This window comes from Homo sapiens, chromosome 10 (assembly GCF_000001405.40).
Source record: "Homo sapiens chromosome 10, GRCh38.p14 Primary Assembly".
Taxonomy (NCBI): Eukaryota; Metazoa; Chordata; class Mammalia; order Primates; family Hominidae; genus Homo; species Homo sapiens.
Window position 1 is genome coordinate 71,662,200 of NC_000010.11, and position 27,142 is coordinate 71,689,341.

At 54.2% G+C, this 27,142-nt stretch overlaps 1 protein-coding gene across 3 annotated transcripts in view, besides 1 other annotated feature; it reads left to right on the plus strand.

Moving 5' to 3' along the window:
* CDH23 (cadherin related 23) overlaps positions 1-27,142 on the plus strand; it is a 419,028-nt gene that overhangs the window by 265,280 nt on the left and 126,606 nt on the right. For all 3 annotated transcript variants that reach the window (NM_022124.6, NM_001171930.2, NM_001171931.2), the window contains exons 15-19: positions 12,913-12,977; positions 15,257-15,494; positions 17,188-17,293; positions 20,246-20,373; positions 25,448-25,520. In NM_022124.6, coding sequence (NP_071407.4) covers positions 12,913-12,977; positions 15,257-15,494; positions 17,188-17,293; positions 20,246-20,373; positions 25,448-25,520 — 610 coding nt within the window. The remainder of the gene's footprint in view (positions 1-12,912; positions 12,978-15,256; positions 15,495-17,187; positions 17,294-20,245; positions 20,374-25,447; positions 25,521-27,142) is intronic.
* Positions 25,132-25,646: an enhancer, noted in NCBI's record as "H3K4me1 hESC enhancer chr10:73447088-73447602 (GRCh37/hg19 assembly coordinates)". NCBI's record gives its function as "activates a minimal SCP1, AML or CMV promoter by ChIP-STARR-seq in naive H9 embryonic stem cells {active_cell/tissue: H9 hESC(naive)}" and the evidence as "EXISTENCE:reporter gene assay evidence [ECO:0000049][PMID:30033119]".

Below are 27,142 nucleotides of genomic sequence, written 5' to 3' on the forward strand. Positions count from 1 at the left end.
TGTGTGGCTTGCCATTTAGGGAGACAACATGAGAATGTGGAATCAATATGGTTCATTAGTGAGCCGCATGTGCCAACCCAATCAGCACCCGCCAGTGACAGGCGTGGGGGGTGTCCTGCCAGGCACCAAGTCACCTTGGAGTGAGGACATGTCCCTGGAGCATAGGCAGTGACCAGCCTCCACCCAGGTACCTCTCTCCACCTTCCCACTAGACTGGGGGCTGCCTGACACCTGCGTATCCCACAGGGCAAGGGAGAGGAGGGAGGGTGTCAGACTTATGACTTGTGGTGGGGACACTGGGAAGATGCTGTCATGGTAGGAGGCGTCATTACCAGCCCAGGTTTCGCTGCACCCCCAGGGGGTTGACTGGACTGTCTTTGCCCCCTTCTCTCATCTCCTTGGCTCATAATGTCCCACTTAACTGAGCCTCAGACACGGTGTCTGTCCCCACATCTCTCAGGCCCTTCCCCTTTTCCTTTTCTACCACATCATCCCAACTCGATAACTGGCCCCAGAGAGGGCCCAAGTCCTTTCTGACTGTGAGCTTCTTGCTCCCTTGCCCCTTCCCTGGGTATCGCCTGTATCCGTTTCCTAGGGTGCCACCAGCTGGGCGGCTTAAAACTACAGAAATGTATTCTCCTGCAGCTCTGGAGTCAGAAATCTGAAATGGAGGGGCTGGCAGGGCTGTCCTTCCTCCTCAGGCTGAGCGGAGAATCCTGCCTGGCCTTTCCCAGCTTCTGGAGGCTCCAGGCGTTCAGGGCCTGTGGCTGCAGAACTCCAGTCTCTGCATGCGTCTTCTCTGTGCCTTTCCTCTGGATGTCTTTATGAGGACACTTGTCATTGGATTTATGGCCTGCCCAGATAACCCAGGATGGTCTCCTCAAAATCTTCCACATAATTATTTTCTCAAAGTCCCCTTTTCCAAATAAGGTCACATTTGTGGGTCCCAGAGGTTGGGACATGGATCTATATTTTGGGAGGTCACCATTCAACCCATTACACACCCTTGAAGGTGTCTTAAGTAGTGACAGGGACATGTTGATAAGGACGTGAAGGGCTAGCCATGGGGACCTGACAGCTCTTCCAATGCCGGCTTTCGTATTTTCTCTCCGTGCCCCGACCCGTCTCTGAACCACCCACCCCAGACTGCAGCCTCCTTGGGCTTCTCCCTCAGTTGCCTGCCGGGAATGCCGTCTCCCCTGCATCTCAAGGCCCCACCTCTTCTTCCAGCTGCAGCTCTGCTCTGCCTCCTCCAGGAAGCCCTGACTGACTCATGGTCCCTGGACTCCTCTCGGCCCTTGCCTCCCTTGCCACTCCCTGTCTACACCATCCTTGGACTTTTAACCTCTGGCCTTGCTGGGTCTTTTTTCTTGCCCCGTGTGGGAACTGTGACTTCAGGCATGTTGCTTAACCTCTCTGAGCCTCGCTTTCCTTGTCCATAAAATGAAAGTAGTATTAGTACCTGTCTCATAGAGTGGGAGTGAAGATTAAATGTGTCAATACATGTGCATTTCTTAGAATAATGCCTGGAACCCAGTAAGGATTAAATCAGTGAGCATTACTACTATTTTTGCAGTTATCGTCAGCCAGTCTCTTTGCCTGTAAAATGGAATGTGACCCCTGTGTCTCTGGTTATTTTAAAGATTAGGAAATTAGCCAAGCATGGTGGTGGGCACCTGTAATCCCAGCTACTCTGGAGGCTAAGGCATGAGAGTTGCTTGAACCCAGGAGGCGGAGGTTGCAGTGAACCAAGATCGTGCCACTGCACACCAGCCTCGGCGACAGAGTGAGACTCTGTCTCAAAAAAAAAAAAAAAGGATTACGGACTGGTTGCATGAAGTGCCTTGCACAGTGCCAGGTCCACAGATGGCACTCAGCAAGGGAATGACCTGTGCCTCTGAGGGGAGCCCAACACCCCTCCTCCAGGCATCTCCCCAGCAAGAGGCCCCAGAGACCACCAGGTGGTGCCAGGCACTTGGCACAGGCAGACACCGGCCACCCTGACAGCCTTTGACATACCGTAATTGCTTCCCCCACTACGACTTCTTTAAGCCCAGAGCTGCTGGCCAGAGCAATTTGCTCCCCATCAATTTTTATTTCCAGGTTTTAAAATAAAATAAAGGGAAATAAGGAAGAAGGTTTCGGAGCCCAAGAACACCACCATGTCTGTGATAACAAACAAGCCGAGGGCCTCACACCTCGAGAGCACCCATCAGCCTCCACCCAGGGCTGGGCCTGGCTTCCCTAGAGCATCCCTCCTGCAGGGCTTAGCACCACTTCCGCTCCACCTCCACGGACCCGCTGCTGGCACAGGACAGGCAGGTGGGAGGGCTGGCCTGGGAGGAGGCTCAGCAGCAGCATGTTTGCAGAGGGCTGGACAAAGAGAGCTTGTAGAACTGGAAGTGGAAATAATAATACTAGCTCCACTTAGAAAGCGGCGCCTGTGTGCTGGGCACAGAGCTAAAGCACCTGTGTGCATTACCTTCCTTAATCCTCACAATAATTCCCTGAGGTGGGTGCTCTCATTACCTCCATTTTACAGATAGGAAAACTGAGGCTCAGAGCAGATATTACTGTGATTACTCCTTCTGTTCTTCCTTTGATCTCCTCCCCCTTCCCCCTCCTCCCTTCTCTCCCCTCTTCCTTCTCCTCCTCCCTTGATCACTTCCTTTCTCTCCTTCTCCCTCTCCCCTCCCCATCTTCCTTTATCTCTCCCCCAGCCCCCATCATCATCTTTCTGATGTCCTTTCCTCCCTAGAAGTCCATCTACTCAGGATTAAGATCCTTAGCTTGTCTGCTAAAAAAAGATCCTCATAAGTCATCAGATATCTCATTTATTCTTTCATCTATTTAGCTGATATTTGTTAAGGGCTTCCTGTGTGTCAGGCACTGGATGGGTGCTGGGGATCCCTGGGAAACAAGACAGACTCAGTTCCTGCCCTCATAAAGCTTATATTCTAGTGGTGGGGGGAAGCCCAGTCAACATTCACCCAGGTGCTCTTACCAAAACCATGACTTTCTCCCACCACACCTATCCGCTGGCAAGAACCGTCAGCTCCAGATTCCAAACATACCTGGAGTCCAGCCACATCCAGCTGGACTTCCCTGACCACCCTGGTCCAAGCCCCCACTGCCTCCCACTACCCCTGTGTGACTGCCTTAACTGCCTCATCTCGGAGCCTCTGTTCCTGCCCTGGAGTTGTAGTCAGAGTTTGCTTTTACAAATGCAAGTGCTTTGCAAATGTAGATCAGAGTGTGCCCACTGAGGTCGCAGGGAAGAGAAGGAGCAGCAACCCAGAGATCTGGGGAAGAGTGACTTAGCAGAGGGACCTGTGGGTGCAAAGGGTGTGAGGCTGCAGCCGCTTGGCCTGTTAGGAGCCTAGTGACTGTCTGAGAGGCAGGAGCAGAGGGCAGTGTGTGGGCGAGGTGAGGAGGCTGCTTGAGGATGGACGCTGGCACAAGGACAGCCAGGAGCAGGCACTGCGGAGAAGGCATATGCAGCATGCTGGCCAACCCCAGTGTCTTACCCAACGTCCCACGTGCACGTAGGGCAGAACCCAGGTCCCACCCCCGAGCTCAGTGGGATTTCCATGACTTTGCACCTGGCCACAAATCCCTTTGGAGGCTTTTTGTGCCTGGTCTTGCACTGCACCCCCCAGGGAGAAGCACATTTCTCACTCTCAAGGAGCAGAGAGTCCAACAGGATAGCAAAGATGCGTTAACACAAGTTCCACCTGCAACTGGTTGTTGGAAAGACTGATTGAGAGATATTCTGAGGCTTCCTCTGCAGTCAATGCCGTGATCCATTAGGAATGTCTACCATTGGCACTGGTGATGGAGTGCTGGCTGTCCAGCCCAAGTCCACAATGGAACAAAAGGGAGGGAAGGTCCCCTTCCCTTTCTCTGCAGGCCTCACCACTAGTCAGGTCCCCATCCTGTCCTCACTGCTCTCCTGCTTGGTCCCTCCACCCAACCAGTGCTTTGAGCCTCCAGCCCAGCCCCCCTTCCCAGTAGCACCCTCTTGTTCTACGGCCTCCCACATGCTCAGAAGGCCCAGAGCAGGCACGAGAGCCTTTTCCTGTGATCACAGCCCCCCAATATCTCCCCTCCACCCCACCGCTCACTCCCTGGTACCATTGCCAACCCAGGACGTGTACTCTCTTATCCGTCACACAAAATGCAATGGGAGCCATTTTCCTTCAAGCACCCATCATTTCCTTTTCTCCCAGGTGCATGGCCACCCCCAGGAATGCCCATAAAGGCACTCAGAGAGCAGCTTCCCACCACACTTCCCCTTTGCCCATCTAACACCCACCATGCTCCCATCCATCCAGCCCTGGCTTCCTTCTCAGATTAAATCACTTCCTTCTGAGATGAGAGGGGAAAATCAAGGCTCCAAGCATTTTCCTAGAAGTGTGGGGCAGACTGGATGGTATTTGCTGGCCATTGGCTTCTACCTCACACGCCAGAGAGAAGCTGGAACCCTTGTCCACAGCACTATGGGAGGGAAGGAAAAAGGGCCTCGGGGGCCCCAGCAGGCATGTGGAGGTCACCCTGGCCTCTGGGCTACCGGGTTCCTGCAGCAGAGTCCTCCTACCTCCTGCCAGCCACTCCAACCCCCCAGAGCTTACAAGAGTGCAGTTAATCTCACACAGTTTAAGGACTTATACAGAGGGGCTCAGTGAATGATGAATGAGGAAAGCATTACCAGCGAAGCACCGGGGCTCCACAGAGCTGTTTAAAAATGCATTCTCCCATGTAAATTTCTGCTCCATCAATCCTTATGACATGTCAAACATTGCTATTGTTTCCTGAACAAATTGTACCGCGTGCCCTTCTCTGCAGATTTGTGCATGAGAGCAGAACTCCTCACCGGCACCGGCCGCCTGCCTCTGTTGCTGGGACCCAGGGCTGCTGCGGAGGCAGCTGGGCCTGCCTTGCTTCAGAGCAGAAGCCCCGTGCGGGGCATTCCTGTGAGTGTGCGTGCGTGACGGGAGTGTGGGCGCTGGTGAGGAGTGATTGAGTGCGTGCCTGCCAGCCTGTGGTCTGCAGGGACAGACACCCAGGTGTCTAGGGAGGGGGTGTGGAGGAGACCACAGGGGCTGAGACTGGGCTGGAGACAAGTAGGGGTGCTGCTTGAGGCAGAGAAAGAGAGAGAGAGTGTGTGTGTGTGTGTGTGTGTGTGTGTGTGTGTGTGCGCGTGTGTGTGTGAGGGGTGGAGGTGTGGGAGACCTCTGAGTAGAGTCTACCTGAGCCAGACAGGGAGAGAAAAGGAAAGTTTCTAGGAGAGTGTGCAGGGGGTACAGGATGCAGAAAGTTGTTCGCAGCTGCCTGAGATGCAGAGAGAGGAAGAGAAAGGGGTTGTGTGTGGTGCGTGCATGTGTTTAAAGAAGTAGGAAGTATGGAGACACAGGAAGAGAGATGACACGAAGACACACAAGGCAGGCAACCTGTAAGGTGGGGGACCCTGTTCCAGGGCAAATCAATGGAAAAGGGTGAGAGATGATGACTGTTAATTGCAAAGAAAGCCTGGGTAAGAAGGGGTTCTCAGGAAGGGGACAAAGAGACAGGAGGGCCTGAACACTGTTGGAATAGCGGGTCCCCAGAGAGTGGGCATAAGATGTTGCGCTGAGCACCAGAGGGCCGGGAGCTGGGCTGGACATAGAGTTTTGAATGCACAAGATGAAGGGGGACTACATGAGAGGGTGCCATGGGAAAAGCCCCAGGTGGGTCAGGAAGGGCACCTGCAGCCAGCCAGACTGCCCCATCCTTCCAAGGTGGCCTCAGGTTGGGCCACACAGCTCCCTCCAATCCAGGCCCTAAGCCACCTGCACAGACCAAGACCAAGCCTGGGATGGGGTGGAGTCCTTCTTTAAGGGTCTGTGGGAAGCACCTGCTTGGGTATCTGAGGGTCTAGGCTCAGGGGCTGCATCCTGGGAAACCACAGCCAGAGACCCCTGCCACCACAGCCAGAGACCCCTGCCACCACAGCCAGAGACCCCTGCCACCTTTGCTGGCAGGCATAGCTAGAGTTGCTGGGAGCCCGCTCTTTCCAAGCAGAACGTAGGGAGCAGAAGCCACCATGGCAAGAAGGGCAAACTGCCTGTGGGGGCCCATCGGTCTTCAACAGGGCGAGGAGGATGACCCTAGTAGGAGCACCCTGGATCCCATGGCCGAGCTCTCAAGCTCAGACTCAGACTTCTCAGGCTCAGACTTCACTCCCCCAGCCCCACCAAAGGGAGGAGCAAGGGAGGGGAGGTCTTAAGAGCACACGCCTTGGAGTTAACCATGTTGATTCATGTTCTAGCGCTGTGACTGTTTCACCCTGGCCAAGTCGATTGATCTCTCTTGAGTCTCTGTCCCCTCCTTCATCTATAAAGTGGGGATACTATGGTGCTGGTCCTATAGGGCTGTTGGGAAGACTGAATGAAATAAAGTGCAGGAAATGCTTGGTAAATTTGGTGGCACATAGTTAAGTGCTCAAAACGAAATGTCAGAGGGGCACCCTCTTGCCCCTTCCCCTCGCTACAGCCAGGAGAAAGACTGGCATTGCTGACTCAGGCCTCACCAGTCCAAGCATGTAGCAATTCCCCCACCACAGGCTCCTCCAATCACCTTGTATTAACCTTGGAATTTTTCACCCCCGTATGTATTTATTTTTTTCCTTTTTGTCAGCAGAAGAAAATTACACTTCTGCCGGCATTGTCCATCACAGAAATAAGCACTTGCAGATGCGATTATAAAGGCCCAAATGACAGAATTAGTTTTGCTGGTAATGCCAGCATTGGGGAGAATCAGAAGGAACGCCTTATAAATCAGGCACTAGGGAGCAGCCAGTCTCGGCTGCACCCTCTCCCCCACATGCTGACTGTAGGGCAGAGGCTGACTGCAAGGACAGTGCTGAGCGCTGAGCGGCCATTGATCTTCACAGATCTTCCCCTGATGGTTCTGCTGAGGGAGGCTGATGGGGAGGCAGAGGCTTCCTGAGGCCTTCTCCAGGCCTTGGTGCCAGCAAGTGCCCACCTCTCTCCAGGAGCTACCTGGACTTCTAGGTGCGCAGCCGATGACTGTCCCATAGACTGGCATACACCTGCCCAAAGACAGCTTCTCCAGGATGAATCTTTCTAAGCCAGCAGCCTCAGTGACCTTCAAGCCCACTTTCAGCCTTGTTTTCCTCGTAGTTCTTACCATTGCCTGGAATTACATTACTTAGTTATTTCTCCCCTTGGTGATCTGTCTCCCCATTCTGACTTTTTTTTTTTTTTGTAAGATGGAGTCGCATTCTGTCACTAGGCTGAAGTGCAGTGGCGCCATCTCTGCTCACTGCAACCTCCACCTCCCGGGTTCAAGCGATTCTCCAGCCTCAGCCTCCTGAGTAGCTTGGATTACAGGCATGTGCCACTATGTCCGGCTAATTTTTGTATTTTTAATAGAGACTGGGTTTCACCGTGTTGGCCAGAATGGCCTTGATCTCTTGATCTCAGGTGATCTGCCTGCCTTGGCCTCCCAAAGTGCTGGGATTACAAGCGTGAGCCACCGTGCCTGGCCTCCCCATTCTGATTTTAAGTGGCAGTCCAGGTTGTCCTGCTTAGGATGTGACTTCACTGTTGGGCACAGCAGCCAGCACATTGGAAAAGCTCAAAAAATATTACTAGGCCGGGCAAGGTGGCTCACGCCTGTAATCCCAGCTACTCGGGAGGCTGAGACAGGAGAATTGCTTGAACCCGGGAGGCGGAGGTTGCAGTGAGCCAAGATCGCGCCATTGCACTCCAGCCTGGGTGACAGAGCGAGACTCCGTCTCAAAAAAAAAATTTACTAAATATGTGACTGAACAAGTGTCTGGTCACTGTTTTCATGAAGGTGGCTTCAGAGGTGTGCCGGGCATCTTCAGCTGCTCCTGCACATCCTCTGTGCCTGTCTCCTTCTGGGCAGGGCAGGGGCAATAGGGAGCCTCGGCAGGGGCCAGGGTGTTGGAGGTGCTCTATAAACCCCGCCTCGCCCCATGCAATCCAGCAACCCCTCTGTCGCTGCTTGCTGCCCACCATGGTGTCTGATGGTGGGGTATCAGCCCCACAGAAGGAAGGTTATGCTGGCCCTCCGTGGCTGGCAGTGGAAATCACACATTCTACTAAATTGGGCAGAGATGTTGAGCCCTGTATGGGGGTACTACATACGATGCAAAAATGAGTTAGACAAACTTCTCTCCTTCACAGGGAGGAAAGTGGGGCACACACAGACAGTTTTCAGGAATGGCAGATTCTGCCACATGTTCCAAGAGAGGGATGACGAGGGGCTCCCGGGTCAAGACCAGTGAATGGTTAGGGACTCTAGGAGAGGGGCATTTGGGATGGGCCTGGGGGGTGGATCAGAGTTTGGAAGGCAGTTACAGAAGGAAAGGATAGAGGAACCAGCAATGAGAGAACAGTCTGGGGTGTACCAGGGAAGAGGTAGATACGAGAACACTAAGCCCAACCAGACTGTGGACACTAGGGTATGGATCTGAAATTAATTCAGCAGATCATAGGGAGCCATTGAAGGATTTTGGGCAGAGAAGGACAATAATTTTAGCTACCGGCTTTGACTTTTTGCCCCTGGGCCTCTTATGAGAGCCTTCACAAGTAGTAAAATGCACTAGTGTGTACCTCTGAGTGCCAGCCTAGAGCCAGTGGGGAGCCATTAGATGGCAACAGAGACACAGAAACACCAGAGGGAGGAGCCTGGAGCACAGTTGAGGTGCTCACCTGGAGCCCTGATTTGGCATCTTTTTTTTTTTTTTTTTTTTGACAGGGTCTCACTGTCACACAGGCTGGAGTGCAGTGGTGCAATCTCGGTTCACTGCAACCTCCGCTTCCCAGGTTCAAGCAATTCTCCTGCCTCAGCCTCCTGAGTAGCTGGGACTACAGGCAATTGCCACCATGCCTGGCTAATTTTTCTATTTTTAATAGAGATGGGGTTTCACCATGTTGACCAGACTGGTCTTGAACTCCTGACCTCAAGTGACCCATCCGCCTCGGCCTCCCAAACCAAAGTGCTGGGATTACAGGTGTGAGCCACCATGCCTGGCCTTTGGTTTGGCATTTTTTAGGTACAATATGAAAATGGCCAGCTGGGCCATCCCCTTCCCCAATCCCTGTCACCATCTGGCTGGCCTGTGAGACCCTGGAAGTTACCCTGCAGGGAGACAGAGATGCTCATTCCTAGAACATTGCAGGGAAGGGGGTGTTTGCAGCAGGAAGAGGAAATTTTGTTCTCTATACATAGGCCCTTGGCACTCCTCGAACCCTCCTTCCTAAAATGGGCCCCAAGGGTCACTGTCTGTCTGCCACTTTATTTGTCTGTTGGACTTTCAGTTGGTCAACCACAAACAAGTCTTGCTTGGGAGGAGGTTGTTTAAACGGTGCCATGACAAGCAGATTGGGGCTGGGATAGACTCAGTCGCTGCCCCTGCTGCCTGGATAGGGCAGGATGGCAGGTGGGCGGTGGAGCAGCCACAGTGGGTCCTCTCTGGAGTCGGGTCAGCCAGCATCTGGGGGGCTGCTCTGGGAATACGAAGACCAGCTCCACTCACCAGCTGTGAGATCTTGAGCAAGTCACTTAACACCACTGCGCCTCTGTTTCCTCACTTGCAAAAGTGGGTGGGAGGTAATGACAGTACTTACCTGTGGAGTTCTGGTCAAAATTAAATTCATACATTAATATGTGTCATGAGAACGTGGGTGCAGTTGTAGTTATAGGTGACAGAGATAGACGTACCTTTCTTGAGCTGCCTTTATGTCCAGGCCCTATACTAGGCCCTGGGCACATGTGGACCCCATGACCCCACGCTGCCCTCTGGGAGCCACATCCTGGTTGGGGGAGACGCACGTTAACCTTAGCTTCAGTGCCTCAGTGTGATCAGGGCTGGGAATACTGAGTGTGCGCAGGGAGGAGCCCTAACTTTGCCTTGGGGGTCAGGGAGGGCAGAAGGGTGTGAGCTAGGCAGGAGAGGGAGGGGCGCTGTTCAAGCGGAGGGGGCAGAGCCAGGTCCTGGGAGCTACACGTGGTCCAGTCTGGGTCAGAGATGAGGCTAGACATTCAGGGCCGACAATGTGTGTAGGAGGGGAGGGGTTTTCCTTCAAGCACAGATCTACCGCCTCCTCCCAGGCCCAGGGCCCCTGACAGGCCCTGCTGCAGCCCGGCACTGGCCCCGCACCCATCAAGGCCCAAGGTCAGTGCTGCTGCCCTCACCCTGGCAGAGGCAAGGAGCAGCTTTTCATCTAGTTCGGCTTCCTACACTTGAAAAATGAAGCTCTCCCTCTCCTCCTCACCCAGGCATACATATTTCACATGGTCATTAGGCGGTGGCACTGAAGGACTCACAAATCTTCCCTGATCAGCATCCGCAGCCTGGGCAGGCAGTGAGAGGCCCTGGGGACAAGGGTCACTGTGGGAACCATGGCTGTGCCCAGTCCAACGTGGGCAGGGGAGGCCAAGCCTTGCAGGGGTTGGGGGTGTGAAGCCAGCTTCTGCTCTAAGACAGTCCAGTCCTGTCTCCTGGCACTCATCACCTAATTTCCCTGGGCCTCAGCTGCTCCAGGCCCCAGGGTGAAGGGGATGGGATGCAGGCACCTCACATATCCTTCCCGTCCTGACAGTCCAGAGCAATTTTGTGGGGCACCCAGATCTGAAGGGCTCATCCCCAGGGCTCAGATGTGACCTTCTCCAGGGGCAGCACACCCCCCATGACCCAGGCCCCTCCCTTCCTGCACACCCCACTTTCTGCTTCTCAGCTGCTCTCCTCCACCTCCTAGCCTGCTGTCTCTCCTCTACTTCCCTTTTCCTTTTCTTTCTGTCATTTGCTTCACTTCTGTCCTCTTTCTTCTGAGTCCTGCCTTCTTTGTCTTCACCGCTGTCTCTCTGCCCCTTCCCTATTTTCTCTGCACCACCCCCTTCTTATTCATTTTTCAGGCATTTATGAAGCATCTACTGCATGCCAGGCACCGTCTGTGCTGTGCAGTGAGCCCCACAGGTGCCTGCCCTGCCCTCGTCCTTCCCCAAACCCTTTTCCTTTGACAAAGGCAAATGATGGGGGCCAAGGAGGTATGGTTTGGTCACACAGTGACCTGGAACTGAGGCCTCCACACCACAGTGACCCCTCGCCAAGGGGTTCAATGACATGGCAGTCAGATCTTCCCAAGACCAAGCTGCAGTTGTAACAGTCCAACAAGACCATGCATTGATGACCATGATTGTCAGTGGAACCTGGGGGTGGGAAGGACTCTGGGATTCCTCCTGCTCCCCTTCTCCTCCGTCCCTGTAAAATGAGGATGAATCTGGGGTTACTTTGGGCAGTGTGGTCTCCTCTCGCCTGGAATAACCAGGCTCCCTTCCTTCTGAGAACAAGCGCCCCTCTTGGCTCAGAGGCAATCACTGATGGAGGGCAAGGGCATGGCTAGGTGGCACAGGATTCAAACCCAGCACAGTTCTTTCTCTAGCTGTGAAGCCTTGAGTGAACGATGTACTGTCTCGATGCCTCAGTTTCCCCATCTGTAAATTGGAGGTGGTGCTAATAATAGTACCTACCTCACAGGGCTGTTGTGAGGGTGAAGGGGTTGTAGGTAGAAGGCGTGCAGGAGCCAGCAGTCGCTGCTGCCGTTGTGAGGAATGGCACAGGCAGTGGGAGAGGCCCCGTCCAGGAGCCAGTCCTGGGTTGGAGGGTGGTGACATGGCTCAGTGCCTTCCTTTCACTTGTTCAGCATGCACCCCCTGAGAACCTGGGATGAGCTCTGAGCCTGGCTGGGGTGGTGGCGGGGACAGAGGTCTGCACCGTCTATAGGAGCATAAGCTGTGGGGATATTGAAAGGAAATCCAACACAAGAGGCAGCCCTATACAAGCTGGCAGCCCAGAGCCCCCAGAAATGGCATCTTTCTGTATAGCCAAGTTTTCTGGATAACTAAGATCTTAATCCTTTGGGTATAAACTTTTTTTCATTTCATTCATTTGGGATAGAAATATATTTTTCACTTATCTGCCTTCCTGAACTGAATGTACTAAACACAAATTAGCTTTTCCTTGAAAATTCAGGCTTATCATAAAGAACATAGAATTTACTAGATTTAATAGACTCCAGGAACTTTAAAAGGAACCTCAAAAATATTGAGCGCAAAGGGATCAAAATACATTTTTAGCCATGAGGGCTTTATCCACTTACAATCTTATAGAGATACCTTAAATATAAAACAGATGCAAGTGGACCCCAAAGTCAGTCTGAGGCCTTTCCCTACGGGCATCTGGTGGCAGGCAGCAGTTTGCCCAGCTCTGGGGCAGTGGTCTGGGAAGAGAGCAGAGGTCACATCTAGACCTCTGCATGGATTATTTACTGTCTCGAAGTACTGCATGGATTATGTACAACCTCTTCACCCTCACAACAGCCCTGTGAGGTAGGTACTATTATTAGCACCACCTCCAATTTACAGATGGGGAAACTGAGGCATCAAGACAGTACATAATCCTTGCATGGATTATGTGTTTCATAAGTAACTGTTGAGTGAATGAACGATGTCATTTAGCCTGCACTGTGGATTAGAACCATGCCAGGGACAATATGGAAGCCAATATTCCAAGCCACAAAAGCCAAACCCCCATTAAAACTTTAGGTCAGGGGAGATGGAGGAGGGCCTCCCTGGGATGGCCACACCTGGTGTGTGGAGGAACACCTGGTGGCGGTGGAGAGGCCAGTTTCTGTCCCACTCTGCTTCTGACCCGCTCCTAACCCAGACTGGCAGCAGGCTTTCACCAGGCCTCACTGGGGTCTGGGCCTCAGAAAATTCACCCTGGGCCAAAGGAGACGTGCGAGAGGAACATGGGTTTCCTGTGGACCTGAAGCCTCAGCTGGGCCTGGCAGTAATGACTTCTTGTTCTCGCTGTTGCAGGCAACTGACAATGATGCAGGCACCTTTGGGGAAGTCAGCTACTTCTTCAGTGATGACCCTGACAGGTGAGACTCTGCCCACAGCCCCTCAGGCCCCTCCGCAGTGGTCCTTGGCCCTCCCCAGACTCATGAGATCTGGGAACTTTTCAGTGCCCAGGGAGGGAGGTGCTGGGTCCTGTGGCTAGAGCACTGGACTGGAAGTTGGAACCCATGGGCACTGTGGCTGGTTTGACTCTGATTGTGGCACAGCCTTGGTCAAGTCTCCTCAACTCTCTGGGGCACAGCTTATCTGACCCTCAAAAGATAGCCTTTAGCTTTGGGAATGGATCCATTGTGTCTCTGAGAGGCTTTGAAGTACTAGCGACAGCACACCGCCACCACCGCCAGCCGCAGTTACTACATGTCAGGCTCATGATGGCCAAGGGCTTCACAGGCATTGTCTTGTGTCATCCTCTCAGTGAAATGACAGAAGAACTCAGTGCTAGGCACTTTTATCATCCCCACTTTACAGATGAGGAAAGTGCAACTCTGAGAGGCTAAGTCACTTGTCCAAAGTCAGACAGCTATAAGTGCCGTGGTCAGGCTTCTGCATGTGACCTTCACCACTAGGCTACACAGCCTGCCCCAAGAGGGCTCTCAACATGCAGCAACTTGTAGGTGGGTTACTCACCTCCCTGCCTAACACATGCCAGCCTTGCCCCATCACCCTTCATGGTAAATTGGTCCGGGCTTGATTTTGGGCCATCTCTTTCCCTTGTCTTCAGTTAATCCAAGCCAAAGGCAGCCCTCTAACTTTTTTTTTTTTTTTTTTTTGAAACAGAGTCTCACTCTGTTGCCCAGGCTGTAGTGCAATGGTGCAATCTCAGCTCAAACTGCAACCTCCACCTCCTAGGTTCAAGCAATTTTCCTGCCTCAGCCTCCTGAGTAGCTGGGATTACAGGCACCCACCAGCACACCTGGCTAATTTTTGTATTTTTAGTAGAGATGGGGTTTCACCATGTTGGCCAGGCTGGTCTCAAACTCCTGACCTCAGGTGATCCACCCACCTCAGCCTCCCAAGTGCTGGGATTACAGGCATGAGCCACTGCACCCGGCCCCCTCTCACTTTTAACATGCTCGAAGGCCACGTGTCTGATGCACTGGGAAGCCCGGTGGAGTGAGTGAGGCGGTGGGTGTCAGCTTGAATGACTGGCCCCAGCTATCCGTGGGAAGGATCAAGAAAAGATGGGGAAGGAGCTGGATGCCATGGCTCATGCCTGTAATCTCAGCACTTTGGGAGGCTGAGGAGGGTGGATCACCTGAGGTCAGGAGTTCAAGACCAGCCTGGCCAACATGGTGAAACCCCATCTCTACTAAAAATACAAAAATTAGCCGGGCGTGGTGGCAGGCGCCTGTAGTCCCAGCTACTTGGGAGGCTGAGGCAGGAGACTGGTATGAACCTGGGAGGCAGAGGTTGCAATGAGCTGAGATTGTGCCACTGCACTCCAGCCTGGGTGACACAGTGAAACCCTATCTCAAAAAAGAAGAGACAGGGAGATTGTTAGGGGCATCTGTCCATTCTCTGTCACTCAGTGATGGGGGTCTGAAATGGGAGGAAGTCACCAGCATGGCTGAATGCACAGGGAGCCCTTTCCCCAGGGAACCCGTGTTCACGTGGCCTTATCCTGGTCATCTTGGATGGTCTCACCTCTTCCCATCTTCTGGGCCTGAGACTTTCCTCACTCCAAGCCAGAACCTTCCAGGCTTGGTGGCTGGCAGCTGTGGTCAGAGCACACAGATGTCAACTGACAGCTCAGATGAGGCTCCTGAGGGGACATTTAGATGAGGTAGTTGGAGGCATTGTCTTGCCGGACCTTTCTGCTACCTGGGAGATGTCTACCAGCCTCCCACTCAAGGCTCATTTCCTCAAAGTCAAGGGGCAGCTCCCAAAAGCGGACCAACCACCCTGCCCTTCACCAGCTGCTTTCTGCCCATTCCTAGCATTCTGGTGCAAAACGATCTGGGTTGGCACACGTTTTTACCCTCACAGTTCTCCAGCATCTAAATATCTGCAGTAGGTAGGAACTCCTGTTCATAGCAGGAGGGTTGTTCTGCCTGGGTTTCCTCCTTGCTTAAATCAGGCAACTCCTCCTGCCCACCTCGTGTGATCCTGATCCCCGCCACCCACCCACCCCCTTTAGAAATAGCAGCTCTTCTCAGGGCAAGTGAAAGGGAAGGCAGATTTCAGACTTCATTTGTTTCTGTTTGTCACTCTGGGCAAGGACAGGCTGGGAAATGCCGGCCCCATCAACAAGCCTGTTTTAAACCACGGTGTTCCTTCTCTCCATCCTCTCGGCCTGGCACAGGTTCTCGCTGGACAAGGACACGGGACTCATCATGCTGATTGCCAGGCTGGACTATGAGCTCATCCAGCGCTTCACCCTGACGATCATTGCCCGGGACGGGGGCGGCGAGGAGACCACAGGCCGGGTCAGGATCAATGTGTTGGATGTCAACGACAACGTGCCCACCTTCCAGAAGGATGCCTACGTGGGTGCTCTGCGGGAGAACGAGCCTTCTGTCACACAGCTGGTGCGGCTCCGGGTAAGGTGCCAGGGAGCCCTGCACTCCTGCCATTTATCTTAGCCTTCTCCCTGTACTTGCTTGCTTGCTTCTTTTTTGTTTTTGTTTTTATGAGACAGGTCTCACTCTTTCACCCAGGCTGGAGTGCAGTGGTACAATCAGAGTTCATTGCGGCCCCAAACTCCTGGGCTCAAGCAATCCTCCTGTCTCTGCCTCCTTAGCAGCTGGGACTACAGGCTTGAGCCACCGTGCCTAGCCTGTGCTTTCTTCTTGACCAACCCCCTAGGGAACCCACTGCAAGAGGGGCTGACCTTCTATCCGCAAAGAATACTGCACAGATTTCAGAGTCAAATTCTTGGTCTGTGTTGGGCCTTCTCTGAGCAACGCCTCATATCCTTGGTACCAAGTGGGGCTTTATACACAGTGTCTGTCTCAGCTTAAATATTAGGTCAGAATTTAGCAAAAGATCCCACCCCCCGACCCATCCACTGCCATCTCCCTTAGCAAGGGCATTGAGTGGGGAGCAGTTCCCTGTGTCAGGACCTCCTCCAAGCCCTTTAACGACTGACTAGAATCAGGAAGTGCTGCAGCTGGAAGGAGCCACAGAGACCATGGAGTGCAACCCCATTTTACAGAAGGGGAACCCAGAGGGGAGGAGGCTTGCCCACGAAGACATAGTCGGGTAGCAGAGCCAGGTCTAGTCCCGGAATGCTATTCTCCAAGTGCTTCCTGCAGCAAGTCCCCCACTAGGCTTCAGTGACCTTTAACCAGAGACTTTTAAATGTCCCCCCTTCCCCATGCTGCCTACCCCAAGGGATGGGACCCAGAGCCTCCATTTGGAACTTGTTTCTGAAGCAGGTAGGGATGAAGGCAAGGCTGGAAGGGTGAGCACAGGGGATACCAAGAAGAACAGAACATGTGCCCGCCCAGCCTGGCCACGGCCCCCCGTACAACCCTGTCCTGCCCTGCCCTCCCTGCTCAGCTCCAGGTGTACCCGGAGTGGTGGGGACCACTGGAGGCTCTAGAGTGAGGGACAACCTGGAAAGAAGCTTATTAATTCAGCTCCCAGAGAAGACAGTCAAGGGGTAGAGGGATCCCTGGCCCCACTCCAGGTGCCTTCTTTCCTCCTTGCTTTCATGCAACATGCATGGATTAGACACCCACTGTGGCCAAATACTGTGTTGGCCTGTAGGTATGCAGCAGCAATCAAGAAACAAGGTTCCTGCTCACATGAAGCTGACGGTCTAAGTGAGGGAGGCAGAAATTAGATAAGAAATTACCACTGGGTGTAAGGGGACCAATGGGGTATGCAACCCTAGGGCCCTAACCGGCTCCGGGAGTCAGGGAGGGCATCTGCAGGTGGGGGTGTTCCAGCTGGGGTTGGGGGTGGGAGGTAATTGTGTCTCAGCCTCTGGGAAGGCCCGGCCTCTGCATTATTCCTGCGCCTCCCACCTGCCCTCTAGATTCCCCAGGCTGCCTCCACACCCAGCACATGGAGGGGAGCAGGGCGTCTGCTGGGAGCCAGAGTGCGGCCTCCAGTTGAAGCACAAGGGGTGCCTCCTGGCGTCCTGGGCCAGGACAAGACCCAGGGCTGGATCACCCAAAAAAGGAGCTGTGAACAGGGCCAGTCTTCCCCACCCTCCCAGCTGCCCACCCTCTTCTGGCCCCCAGTCTCCTGCAGGCTCACGGCCCTTGTCTGCCCTCTTCCTTTCAGGCAACAGATGAAGACTCCCCTCCCAACAACCAGATCACCTACAGCATTGTCAGTGCATCTGCCTTTGGCAGCTACTTCGACATCAGCCTGTACGAGGGCTATGGAGGTAGGTGTGGGGCAGAACTCGGGGCCCAGCCAGGAGGAGGGCTGGGGGGCTCTCTGCACTCACACCTCCCTTGTGGGGATGAGGCGGGCACTCCTTGTCTCCCTGACACTCTGGGCTACTCAGGAAGCTGCCCGGAGCACCTGGGGTGGAGCAGGATGTGGCCTGAGTCGCCCTTCCGTAGGGTCAACATCTGTGTCCCTCATCAGCAGGATCTCTCTCTGGTTCTTAGGCCATGGCCAGCCCTGCAATCGAGCCAGAAGTGTGATGTTAACAGAATCTCTGGGGTTCTCTGTTTCTTACCAAGGCTGCAGGCAGGTCCGTGGGATGGAAGCTCTTTAGCCAAGACTCCCTACTTTTTGGGCGGCCGTGTGGGACCAGGCACTCTGCACCATGCCCTGCTGCCTGCTGTGGGTCCCCATCCCTAGAGCCCTGGTAGGAAATAGCAGCAACCTCAAGCTCCAAGATCCCAAGAGAGACTATTTTGTTTTTCAGATAAAGCAGCTAAGGCCCAGAGACAGGGAGCAACTTGCCTGAGCTCACCCTGCAAAGCTGCTGAGCTTGGCACCAAGTCCCCGTGTGGTCTGGCCCTTGGTTGCCTTGCGAGCCTCAGCTCTCAGCAGCCCTTGCCCCACCAGAGTCCAGCCTCTTTGAACACTTTGACACTGTCTCCCCTTACTGGTGTTCACCCCCATGTCTTTGCAGAGTTTGTTCCTTCTGCCAGGAAAGCCCTTCCTCCTTGCCCCTTGGTCCTGCCTCCCTTTGGCTGTCCAGTGTGTAGCCCCTGGCTAGCTTTAAGGGCTCATTTAACACCTCCTCCTTTGGGAAGCTTCTCTGATTCCTGGAGCCTGGGTTAGGTGCCCCCAGGGCAGAAGGAATCGATGTGCGTTGAGTGACTCTGGGTCCAGTGGTCATTCCTCCCACTACCCCACAGTTAGTTCAGTTCAGAGAAATGCCACTGTAGAAATTGCAGTTCTGACCAGCGCGGTGGCTCACGTCTGTAATCCCAGCACTTTGGGAGGCCGAGACCGGCGGATCAATTGAGGTCAGGAGTTTGAGACCAGCCTGGCCAACATGGTGAAACCCTGTCTCTACTAAAAATACAAAAATTGGCCAGGCGTGGTGGTGTGCACCTGTAATCCCAGATACTCGGAAGGCTGAGGCAGGAGAATCACTTGAACCTGGGAGGCGGAGGTTGCAGGGAGCCCAGGTTGCACCACTGCACTCCAGCCTGGTGACAGAGTGACACTCCGTCTCAAAAAAAAAAAAAAAAAGAAAAAGAAATTGCATTCTCTATGAAATCTACATCCCTCTGTCTTTCTTTTTTTTTTTTCTTTTTCTTTTTTTTTTTTTTTTTGAGACAGAGTTTTACTCTGTCACCCAGGCTGGAGTGCAGTGGCTCGATCTCGGCTCATTGCAACCTCCGCCTTGTGGGTTCATACAATTCTCCAGCCTCAGCCTCCCGAGTAGCTGGGATTACAGTCGTGCCACCACGCCCAGCTAATTTTTGTATTTCTAGTAGAGATGGGGTTTTGCTAATGTTGGCCAGGCTGGTCTTGAACTCCTGACCTCAAGCCATCCTCCTGCCTCAGCCTCCCAAAGTGCTGGGATTACAGGTGTGAGCCACTGTGCCTGGCCCATCCCTCTTTCAAAAACTTAAAAGTTCCATGCTTCTGCCTGCCCCATACCTCACCCTCCTCTCAACTAGAAGAATCCCCCTTAGATTTTATATTACTAAAGCAATAATCTTGTTTCCCTTTTCCAAATAGAAAGTTGTAATTTAATATTGTTGTAATGCCTTCTAAGACCTCCCATGCCCCCCACTCCCAAGCCAATATACCTTCCCTCCCCAGTTGAGAATCAATGGCTTAGCACAAACAAGTACTAATGGAGAGATTTCAGTCGTGTGCAGTGGTAGGGATATTTCAGGGCACAGGCATCTATCTTAGCTCCCTGCAAATCCTGCCTCTCAGCCTGGGTCTGCCTTTGGCCTTAGGGTTCTTCGCCCACCTCTAAACAGAGTTCTGTTGAAGGTAAGGTCTGCAGCACCTAACCCCGAGTACCTCCCCATGGGGTCTAAACAGTGCCCAGAGTAGGTGACTGGATGGGTATGAAGAGCCCATAGCATAAAGTGGGGAGGAAATGGAGGGAAGAGAAGAGAGAGACGCCAGGGGCAGTGGCTCACGCCTGTAATCCTAGCACTTGGGGAGGCCGAGGCGGGAGGATTGCTTGAAGCAGAAGTTCGAGACCAGCCTAGGCAACACAGCCAGGCTCTGCTTCTACAAAGAAATTTTTTTAAATGAAAATAAATAAAGGAGAAGGGAGGGAAGAAGATTAGAGAAATAGGGCTAGAGACCGAGGAGGGTCCTGCCTTCTGCACCCCACTGCCTGGTCCTCCCTGGCATCCCCAGTGCTGGGCAACTTCTGGGGAACTCTGTGCTTACCTGGAGAGAGGAGTAGTGACAGGGAGGCCTGGAGGGCCCAAGGCATGACCCTGTCCTTCGAGCAGCTTCCAGACTGACGGGGAAAATCCATAAAGTGCCAGATGAGTGAGTGAGACAGACAGACAGACAGACAGACAAGCAGACAGGAGCACCTACTAAGAAAGAGCCTGGGTTCTGGATTCAGCCAAACCTAGGCTCATCTCCCCACTCTGTTGAGAGCTGTGTGACCTTGGGCAAGTTACTGAACATCTCTGAGCTTGGTTTCTTCATCTGTAAAAGTGGGGCTTACATTACCACCAGCTATCACCTGGTGGGCGCAGCACAGGGTCTGGCACATTTCAGGCAGTCAGGAAACCTCAGTCGAGATGTTGAGGCTCCAGGTGTTCAGAAAACAAGCCAGAGCTGGCCCGGGCCATGCCAGCCATAACTTCTCTGCCCAAAGGGGACCCCTGTCTGGACGGGCATCTCAAGTCTGCTTACAGAGGGATCTGGCCTGTTCCTGTCATTGCAGTGATCAGCGTCAGTCGCCCCCTGGATTATGAACAGATATCCAATGGGCTGATTTATCTGACGGTCATGGCCATGGATGCTGGCAACCCCCCTCTCAACAGCACCGTCCCTGTCACCATCGAGGTGTTTGTAAGTACCCAGGGCCACTGGCCTTGCCCTGCTAGTGTAAGGGATGGTGAGTGCTTCCTGTGAACCCAGTACTGTAGGACTGTGGCCCCCACCTCCTTGGCTGTCCCTGCACCTTGGGGAGTTTACCCAGCCATCTGTCCCAAAGCCTGCCCTTAGCAAGTCTCTCCACTGCTGCAACAACTTCACTGCCTCCCCGCTTGGCCAGGGAAGGCCCAGGGCCCTGGTACTCAGGAAGAGACACATTGTCTGCTCTGACTTCACTGGGGGCCCCAGGACACCCTCGGTGGGGAACAGGAGCTGGGAGTCAAGTGAGGAGGAAATGTCGTGGGCTTCCTTCATTTATGGCTGCATTCTGTGAAGAACAGAAGAATGACCAGAAGGTCATCTTCTCCCTTCTCTCTCTCTCTCTCTCTATCCTGCTCTTCCTTTTTTTCTTCCCTTTTCCACTCCTCTGAAGATCTAAAGCGGTCTGAAACCAAGCCACAGTTTCTCTGACATGAATATCAAGCACACCTTAGTATTTTCTGTGTCTGAAATTATCAGTTGCTGAATCCATCTCCACGCTGGTTCATTTGCCCAATGCCACACGGGGATGCAGAGAGTGGTATGACAGCGGGACCAATGGGCCCCTCCGCATGGAGACCTCCCCACACACACCTGTGCATGCACCGCCTGCCCCCTCCCCATCTGTGGGAGACAGCGAACGCGTGTTGATCGAAGAGTTAGTGCATTATCGGCTCCGGGAGGATTAGATCAGGTTGTCAGGTTCAGAGATGCGCTGTGATTTCACATAAGCTCAGGAAAATCTCACCCTGGAGCAGACATGCTGGAGAGCCTTCCTGTCACAGCCAGCTTCACCAGCAGCCTCTGCCACTGCCCACGCCCGGCCTTAACAAGCTCTGTCTTCTCAACCCGAGGCTGAAGCTCCAGGGCCAGCTTCCAAGCGGAAAGGCCATTGTCTGGGCCAGGGACCCAATTTGCTTGCTGAATAGGATGCAGCTGGAAGTGATGGGAAAGTCAAAGTGATGCCTGATGGGAGAGCCTTCCAGTTGGGCATGTGGGAGCAGAATTTAGGGGGGGCCAGGAGGATGAGGCTATACAGAACCAGGATAGCAAAGGGAAGGGCAGAGAGTTGGGGCCTGGCTTCTGGAGTCCTTGTGCCTGGCACCTCAGACTTCAGGGAGTGTTGGGGGAAGGAGGACAGGGACCAGGAGATCTTCAGAAACCTTAAAACTGACCTGGGCTGGGCGCGGTAATCCCAGCACCCTGGGAGGCTGAGGCAGGTGGATCACGAGGTCAGGAGCTTGAGACTAGCCTGACCAACGTGGTGAAACTCCATCGCTACTAAAAATACAAAAATTAGCCAGGCATCGTGGCAGGTGCCTGTAATCCCAGCTACTTGGGAGGCTGAGGCAGGAGAATCGTTTGAACTCAGGAGGTGGAGGTTGCAGTGAGCCGAGATCGCACCATTGCACTTCAGCCTGGGCAACAAAAGCAAAACTCCATCTCAAAAAACAAACAAACAAACAAACAACAACAAAAAAAAACGGCCTGACTCGAACCTGTAACCTCCCACCTAGAAACACCGAGGGTAGGGAACGATAATGCATTCCCTGGCAGTCATGACCATGGACTGGCACTTTACCCCATGGCCCGACCCTGACCACATCACCTAAACCTGGCCTTAGTTTCCCAGACTTGACCACAGCCCCCAAGCCTCCTCTAATCGTAGCTGCACTCACAACCCTGACCAACCCACCCATCGCTTTCAACCAGCCAGGATGCTGCTCTGCACAAGGAGGCAGTGAATTCTGTGCTGGGCCCCCAGTAGGACAGGAAGGTGAATGTGCAGCCTGCTCCACCCCCCCTGGAGACACCAAGTGGAAAGAGGGGTGTGGCTGTGGAAAGAGGGGTGTGGCTGTGGAGGCACATGGGTTTGAAACCTGGCTCTGCTGCCCTCTTGCTGTGTGACCTGGGTCTCTGAAACAACTTCCTCATCTGCAAAATGGTGGTAATCGTGATACCTGCCTCATGATATTTTTGTGAGGCTGAAATGGGATTGTGCAGGTGGCACCTGGCACCTGGAATGTCTTATCGCTGTAATGACAGCCATGCATAGCAGCAGCCGCACCCATGCCCCAGCCTGTCGCTAGTGCAAATGGGAGTTCCCATGAGTGGGCTGAGGCAGAGAGGGAGCCATTCAGGCTTTGGGGAGTGGATGCTGGAGAGGGTAAGAGTAAGGGAGGTCTAGGGAAATAAGTTAAGTGTTCTGGCTAGCCCGGGGCTAGACAGGCCTAAGTAGCGAAATGGAAACTAAAATGTGCTGAGCTCCAGGAACGTGCCAAGTCCTTTCACATGACCCAGCCCCTTTCAGTCCCACTTTACAGATGGGGAGGCTGAGGCTCAGGGAGGACCCAGGCTCACCAGTGCCTTTCTTCCTTACTGGCAGAGCTGGGACTTGAACCCTGACCTGAATGACTCCCATGTTGACATGCTTTCCACCACAGCCACAGGCCTGGAACCTTGGTCATCCCTATCCACATATGACTGAGACCAGTGCTTCTCAAACTTCCCTGGGCCCTGGAATTCTCTGGGGATTTCATTAAAAGGCAGATTCGTATTTAGTGGGTCTGAGGCAGGGCTGGGATTCTGTGTGTCCTCCCACACAGCTTGCAGGTGATGTGGATGCTTCTGGTCAGGGGACAACACTTTGAGGAGCAAGGCCTTCAGAGACCCACCCTCATGAGATTTTGAAACCTGAGCTCTGCTCCAAACCCCAGACCTGTCCCAACCTGTAGCTCAGCTAAGGCAGGGACTGGAGCATCTCGTTGTGCCTCAGCCCCCCTAAAAGGGGCCGGAGCATGCAGAGAGATGAAGGTGAAGGGACTGAACTCACTTTTTGTCCCTGCAAATAAAAGTGTGACCAGCAGCCTCCCTCCCTGGGACCACAGAGGAGGTGGGTGGGGGTAAGAACCCACCTCACTTTGCACTTGGGAAGCCAGGGTGTGCCCTGGCATGAAACCACAGTGGCCTAGTAGAAGAGGCCCCATTTTCAAATTCCCTCAAAGCCATCCCAGGGACAAGCAGGGGCCCTGCACTTCCCTTCCGAGTACACCCTGGCCCTGGGGCAGCCGGAGAGTCTGGCAACAAAGACAGGTGCCACCTTGGCTATGAGTGAACATTGTCTCTCAAGCAGGGCCTCTGGATGGCACAGTCACTTGTGTCTGAGGACCACACTTGAAAAGGTCACCACCTTCAGGGTGATTTTGCACGTGGCTGGTTTTTAAGTAGCTGTCACTCGGCTAAGCGGCCTCCTCCCTCCACCAAAAGGATTTTCTCCCAATTGGAATTTAAAAACCCAGCAGCAATGAAGTTGTTGATGGCAGCATTTCCTGCACAGGTTGGGGGTGGGGAGAGGCAGATGGAAACCACAGGGCTCCAGGAGGAGGAGGGGCCGGAGGGGCCAGGTGATTCTTTTTCATCCACTGCTTGTTGGTTTTTAATAAAGAAGTCAAACTCGGTTTGTAGATTTCCCATTAGGGGACAATAAGCTTTTGTAGAGCGAGCCGCTGATTTAGAACTAATAGCGAATGCAGCGCCAAGATCCGGGGAAATATCACCGCTAATAAGTTTCTGCCTCATGCTCTGTCACTGACATTCTCCACACCGTTTCGTGCAGCCAAGCAGAAGCTTAAATGTATAAGTATATGGGGCGCTCGCACCCGCACCAGGGACAGGGGAGATGCCCAGGCACGCAGCTGGGGCATTGGACATCAGGGGAATCCTGAGACTGCTGGGTATCTGGGGAGAGGGGCAGGTCAGCGTGACCCAGGGTGCCATCCAGAGCCAAGGGGCAGATTGGAGAAAGAGAGGATCACTCCTGTCTGGGCACCCACAATCTTAGCAGGCTGAGATTCTCTGATGTCCCAAGGGGGGTGCAGCCAGAGAGCATGCCCCCATCTTTCATGGCTGCTCTGTCAGCAGCGACTCCAGCAAAGGGGGCTTCATACAGGATCCTTTCCCCCTAAGAGCTCTCAGTTCCATGAGAAGCCAGGCCTTCTCATGGAACTCCTATTTGCACTAGCAAACGAACAGGAACTGCCAAAGACTGTAACATAAAGACTGCCCAACGGTGCCGGGACTCAGCCTGACTCCTGAGCTCTGCACTGGACTCTTGGGAAAGGGGAGAAGGTCATGAGCCAAGTGGGCTGGGGAGGCTTCCTCCAAGAGGGAAGCAGGGAGGAATTCTTGTTGGGAGATTGCAAGAGTGGTTGGTGAGGATAAGAGTATTAAAGGGCAGGAAAGTCTCTTCTAATTGAAGAGGAAGGGCCGCGGTGTGAAGGAGTTGGGGGGTGCGTAGCAGGAGGCAGAAGTTGCCCACCCTACCCTGCCAGGCTCAGCCCCTCAGCCAAGCACCGTGCTCTGGCTATTGGCAAAGGCTGGGCTGGAAGAGATATTGCTTTAGAACTGACAGGGGTGGGGCTCTAGGCCAGGGGTGGCCCAGGGGCTGGAAGAGCCGTTGTTCTCATGTGCAAGGAGGAATCTAGCTGTACCTGCCAGCAGCCAGCCCAGGGCCAGAGTTTGGGCTCTGGGAACCACCTGACCCTGAGCTGCCATAGCATACTTCAGTATCTTTGAGGAGAGTCCTAGAAGCTTTTGTCATCATCCTGGTGGACCTACGCAGGGGTCCAAGTGGGCATCCCCAGCATGGGAGCTGGGGGTGTGAGTGCTGGAGTGAGCCTGGGGCTCAGCTGGAGGACCAGCGGGGAGCCTGGGGAGCTGGCAGCTGTCGGCAGTCCCAGCTGCTGCCGGCACACTCCCTCTTCCTGGGCCTCCCCATCCCTTCCTGAGGCCTGCATGTTTCCCCAAGGCTGGTCCTACCTCCTAGAGCTGTAGCCTGCCAGAGGGTTACCTGACTCCCTGCTGACACCTCACCTGGCTCTGGTTATACGGAGAGGCCAAAGCTCTTTAGGGCCAGCCAGACCTAGCCTGACTCCTTGGTGCCCACCTTAGACATCTGGCCAGCCCACCTGCCTCCCTGCAGCCTCCTGCAACCTGTCTGTGTTCCTTCCAGGATGAGAATGACAACCCTCCCACCTTCAGCAAGCCCGCCTACTTCGTCTCCGTGGTGGAGAACATCATGGCAGGTACAGGCTCAGGTCGGGGGGTGGGGGGCACATGGAGGTAGGCAGCCAGCAGTCACGGCACCCAGGATGTGCAGACCCCGGCTCTGCACACAAATTGTGGGAGGTCCATGGCCTTCTCTTTCCCCGGCCAAGCTCCTTGACAAATCGGGGAGCCTTTGGAAACATCTAGTTACCTGCCAGCTAACAGCTAGTTCCAGAGCACCTGCTATGTGCAGGTGCTGTGCTGGGCACTTGGTTCCTGCTCTCCTCTAACTATAGTCTAGTGGGGAAAGAATAATGATCCATGATTAATTAAGCAATCTTGATTAAACAGTCTCAAGTATACAGAGGGCTCTGAGACTATAGCACTGTGAGGCAGGTCCCAGGGGCCATGATTTCAGAGGGGTGGCCTTACAGCGGGGCATGTGTTCCTATGTGAGGATGCGATTGAGAGGCTAATCTCTGGGCCAGGCTCAGGTTGCAGGGCTCAGTTTGCAGACCCAGCACCACCAGCTCCACACTCAGGTTCCAGGGGATCTGTTCTGCCCTTGAGGCAGGCTGGCAGCTTCGCCCTTACCCTCAGAGCAAATGATCCTAGCAAAGAAAACGCCCATATCAGGAACTGCTGCAGTGGCTGAAGGAGACAGGAAGGCTGGAATCAGGGACAGTAGAGTCATGGATGGTGGAGTCATGGATAGTGGAGTCAGGGACATTGGAGTTAGAGATGCTGGAGCCAGGGATGGTAGAGCCAGGGATGGTGGAATAAGGATGGTGGAGCCAGGGGTCGTGGAGCCAGGGATGGTGGAGCCAGGGGTGGTGGAGTCAGGGGTGGTGGAACCAGGGATGGTGGAGTCAGGGATGGTGGAGCCAGGGGTTGTGGAGTCAGGGGTGGTGGAGTCAGGGGTGGTGGAGCCAGGGGTGGTGGAGCCAGGGGTGGTGGAGTCAGGGATGATGGAGCCAGGGGTGGTGGAGTCAGGGGTGGTGGAGCCAACGGTGGTGGAGCCAGGGGTGGTGGAGTCAGGGGTGGTGGAGTCAAGGGTGGTGGAGCCAGGGGTGGTGGAGCCAGGGATGGTGGAGCCAGGGGTGGTGGAGTCAGGGGTGGTGGAGCCAACGGTGGTGGAGCCAGGGGTGGTGGAGTCAGGGGTGGTGGAGTCAGGGGTGGTGGAGTCAGGGATGATGGAGCCAGGGGTGGTGGAGCCAGGGATGGTGGAGCCAGGGGTGGTGGAGCCAGGGGTGGTGGAGCCAACGGTGGTGGAGTCAGGGGTGGTGGAGTCCAGGGGTGGTGGAGTCAGGGATGGTGGAGCCAGGGGTGGTGGAGTCAGGGGTGGTGGAGTCAGGGGTGGTGGAGCCAGGGATGGTGGAGCCAGGGGTGGTGGAGCCAGGGGTGGTGGAGCCAGGGGTGGTGGAGTCAGGGGTGGTGGAGCCAGGGGTGGTGGAGCCAGGGGTGGTGGAGTCAGGGATGGTGGAGTCAGGGGTGGTAGAGTCAGGGGTGGTGGAGCCAGGGTTGGTGGAGTCAGGGATGGTGGAGTCAGTATGGTGGAGTCAGAACTGGTCTTTCCTGGCACCACGAGGCCTTCTAAAGAGAACCTCTGGGTACCACTCTGGCACCTGACAATGAGCTGGGTGGGTGCTGGGCTGCACCC